The sequence below is a fragment of the Homo sapiens genome, chromosome 5 (assembly GCF_000001405.40).
Source record: "Homo sapiens chromosome 5, GRCh38.p14 Primary Assembly".
Taxonomy (NCBI): domain Eukaryota; kingdom Metazoa; phylum Chordata; class Mammalia; order Primates; family Hominidae; genus Homo; species Homo sapiens.
The window spans coordinates 153,442,833-153,447,264 of NC_000005.10; positions in this window are offsets into that span (position 1 = coordinate 153,442,833).

The following is a 4,432-nucleotide window of genomic DNA, read 5'->3' on the forward strand; positions in this document are numbered from 1 at the left end:
ATTATTTGTGAGCTTTGCCATTTTAATTTCTGACCCTAGAACAGACAGAAAAAATAAGTGAGAAAACAAAGAAACCCTGAATTTAAACATAATATGTTCCAGTTCCCAAACATACACACAAATATGATTCGTCAGTTCAGGTTAGGATGTGTGAGGTGGTCAAGGCAATAACTTCAATCCCAGATTCTGGTCCTAGTTGTAACAAAAGCTGGCAGTAATCTGGGTAAAAGAAGAGCTTATCCCTCTATCTATATACCTGTGTGTGAAAACAAGTAGCTTGGAATAACCTCTGTTATAAAAATTGCATTTTGTTTTGAAAAATTGTTCCAGGAAAGGATATTATGTTCCATTTCATAGCTAAATGTCTTAGTCTGTTTTCTGTTGCTCATAACAGAATACCTGAACTGGGAAATTTATTAAGAAAAAGAATTTATTTCTTACACTTATAGAGGCTGAGAAGTCCATGGCTGGTGAGGGTCTTCCTGCTAGTGGGGACTCTGCAGAGTCCTGAGGAGGGTAAGATATCACCTGGCGAGGAGCTGACTGTGCTGGTTCAGGCTCTCTTCCTCATCTTATAAAACCACCAGTCCCACTCCCATGATAGCCATTGATCCATTAACCCACTAATCCATTAATCCCTGAATCGATCACTCCATTCATGAGGGCAGAGTCTTCATGACCCAATCACCTCTTAAAGACCCCACCTCTCAATACTGCCACATTGGGGATTAAATTTCAACATGAGTTTTGGAGTGGACAAATATTCAAATATAGCACTAAATAATTTTAGGAAAACCTGTTTATTCTTTTTTTTTTTTTTTTTTTTTTTTTGAGACGGAGTCTCGCTCTGTCGCCCAGGCTGGAGTGCAGTGGCGGGATCTCGGCTCACTGCAAGCTCCGCCTCCCGGGTTCACGCCATTCTCCTGCCTCAGCCTCCCAAGTAGCTGGGACTACAGAAGCCCGCCACTACGCCCGGCTAATTTTTTGTATTTTTAGTAGAGACGGGGTTTCACCGTTTTAGCCGGGATGGTCTCGATCTCCTGACCTCGTGATCCGCCCGCCTCGGCCTCCCAAAGTGCTGGGATTACAGGCGTGAGCCACCGCGCCCGGCCAAAACCTGTTTATTCTTACTCCCATCATGGGATCACTTTCCCATTTTTGTATTATAGGCTCTGAGAAGATCCATGATGGTGTAAACTAAAACAAAATATTTCTTGAATTTATTTGAGGAAAAAGTATATGATACAGTGATATATAATAATATATTATGTATTATATAATATATATTTATGTTATTATATATAATATATACATATATAGCACTAAATAATCATATAAATATATATAATGTATATAAATAAAAATATACACACATATGTTTTTTCCCTCCTCTGGTTCACATCTTAACCTAATGTAGAACTATTTCTTATAGGACATAGTTTGACAAACCCTAGATTGAAATGATAATTAAAGACCTTGGTGGTTTTTAAATATTGGCATTTTATGACTTGGTAACACTTCATTAAGCAGCACATCAAGCCAGTTACCATACTGTGATAACTGATGTGCATAATGATGACCTGCACATTTTAAAGATCCTGAAGGGCAGTCTGAGCCAATGAAGAAAGATTGAATTTATGTTCCTATGGCTAAGGACTGAGGGCCCCTTTTTATATCTGGACCTTTTGCATATTAGTACCCTGAGAGAGAGAGAGAGAGAGAGAGAGAGAGAGAGAGACAGAGACAGAGAGACAGAGAGAGAGAGAGTGAGTTTATGTATACCTTTAGTGTATACTACTAAAAGGTGAACGTTTTAAACTGTATATATGTGCAGTTGCACAGTTACACACATCCATAGTTCAGATCTAAATAGAGCTCTGCTGAAGGGGAAAAAGCAGTTGGCACCCAAAATCTTTCTGGTAAGTTTTCATAGAGGGTTCTGATAAGAGGCATTTTGTTACATGAAAAGTGCATGAGCTTGGCAATCAGACAGATATGTAGCTAGCAGGCTGAGGTCTGTGAGTTATATATCTGAACCTCAGTTTCCCATCTGTTGAATGGGGAAAAAGTAGCTACCTCTAGATGTTAAATAGCAAATGTAAAGATTCTAGCACAGAGGAAGAATTCAATAGAAACTTTAGGTAAATTTACACCTCTTTTCAATGTGTCTTCTTGAGGACAGAATCTGTAACTTCTAAACTTGGGCTCTGCACATCTAGCATACATCATCTAGCATCTCAGCCTGCCATTGACTTTCCCGATAGGATTTCTACTGAGAAAATTCAGTAGGTTCAGTGGGTTCTACTGCCAGATGTAAACTGCTTTATAAATTGATTAGTTAACCATAAAACTTAAATTTTGAAATAAACTAGGCATTTATTCTCACCATACCCCTCCTGCCAAAGCCCATTAGCGGAAGAACTAGGGTGTCCTTCTTCCCTACCTCATCCTAGTTTCTTTCTGCAAACTTCAAATTGTCACTTCCTCAGAAGGCTTTCCTTGACCACCTTGAATAGTTCATTTTCTGTTGACAGCACTGGGTACTTCTCTTTTGGAGCACATTCTGCAGCAATCTTTCTCTTTCTCTATCTCTTTGCACTTCTTTGATTTTCATCTGTTCTCCCAAACCAGTTTGTAAACTATGAGAGGGCAGAGACTATGTATGACTGCCTTTCTCTGCCAGTGTTATTTTCAGTACTGAACAGTGTTTGGCACATAGTAGGTACTGAACAAATACTTGAATGAATAAATGCTCTTTTTCCATTTCTTACTAAGAGCTTATTCCTTGTGAGTTTTTCATCAAGGCTGAACATCGTAAGTAAGCTTGCAGCCAGAGTTCTCTCTGTGCCCCACCTCTGCGTGAAAACGTAACCCAGTGACAACTAAAAGGTCACATCCTAGAGGCTTTTGGCCAGCTTGCTTACAATTGGCTTTCAACAAAACAAAAAGCGATGGAAGGCAGGTGAGATTGAATCAGAAATCATCTCCATGTTATGATCCTTTTCTTGCTGCTGGCAACATGTAGCTGTTTGCTTGGTGTAGCTCAGTTTCTGGGTTCTCTAGCGCCACCAAACTTTGCAGACTTCACTTCCGGTGGGTTCACATTTGCATGAGCTCTGGCCATCCTACATTGCTCTACCCTGTAACATTTGTGACTTAACTGCCTGGCTTCTGACCCCATCACTCCTCCACACCCTACAACCCACGTCTCCCTTGTGCTATATTCCCCAGTCTTGGCTCTGTTCCCAGTGCCCTCAGCCTGCTGCCACCCACGGCACAGCATGACGAAATGATTCCTTCGACAATATTTGCCTTTGGAAACATAGCCCACGGGCAAGAGATGCCTGGATTTAAATATCCAAACTGTATTTCTCTGCAGCAGGAATTGAGGAATTGTGTTCTCTAGGGTCTTTCCAAACCCAAGTGCCTGTGTGTTCAACAGGCTCTGTGGTTTCATGAGAGACTGTGGATGGGATTGATTTTTTTCTTTAGCTCTTCCCCAGTTGACCTTGGCTGACTGCCCTGTGTCCTGGTATCCTTCTCTAAACCCGAACATGGAGATCCCAGGAAAAGAAAATGCTAAATCAAGGCCAGTGGTGATATTTACTTAGAACAGATGGTGACACAATCCTAAGCTTTCTCGCCCTGAGCATTACTCCAGGAGAATTTTCTGGGTCTGATACAGCTGAGAAAGGATGAATTCAGGCACATTTTTTCCCTGAGCCTGTCTACAAAAAGTGTGTTAAAAACTCATTATTCATTTTTAAAAATAGAGACCTCTACAATGAATTCCACTTCTATGTTCGTAGTATGTGAAACAGCATCGTATTGGAAAGGAACCAGACTAGGTGTCTGGAGATTTGCATTCTACTTCCAGCTTGAAAAAGTTACTTAATTTTCCAGGTCTCATTTTCCTTATAGGTTAAGCTGCCTTAAGCTTCCTTATATTACCATGTGCCTAATACCATGCCTGGCTAAAGATAATATGGATAACAGCAAGGACTAACATTTATCTACGTTTTTTGTGTGCCTGTTACTCTTCTAAGCATTTTGAGGTATTCAACTATTTATTGCATGAATAAATAACTAAAAACAGAAAAATGAATCCAAGTCCTTTTGAGAAGCTTTATTTTATATATATATTTTTTATACATATTCTAATTTAATTATCCTCTCTTAGACCTCTATCTAATACTGTCCCTGCCACTTACTAATACAATTTTCTGCTTGAGTTTTTGGTATCACTAGATGGCAGGGTACATGTTCTCACTCATTTTTGTTCTCCCAGCAGCTGGTATAAATCCTAGCAGATAAAAGGTGTTCAATAAATGTAAGATTCATAAATGGTCCAAGACCAATAAAATGTAAGCTCCATGAGGGCAATGGAGCAATGGCTTTGTCTCTTGTATTCTATACTTCTCTGTGCTAAAAA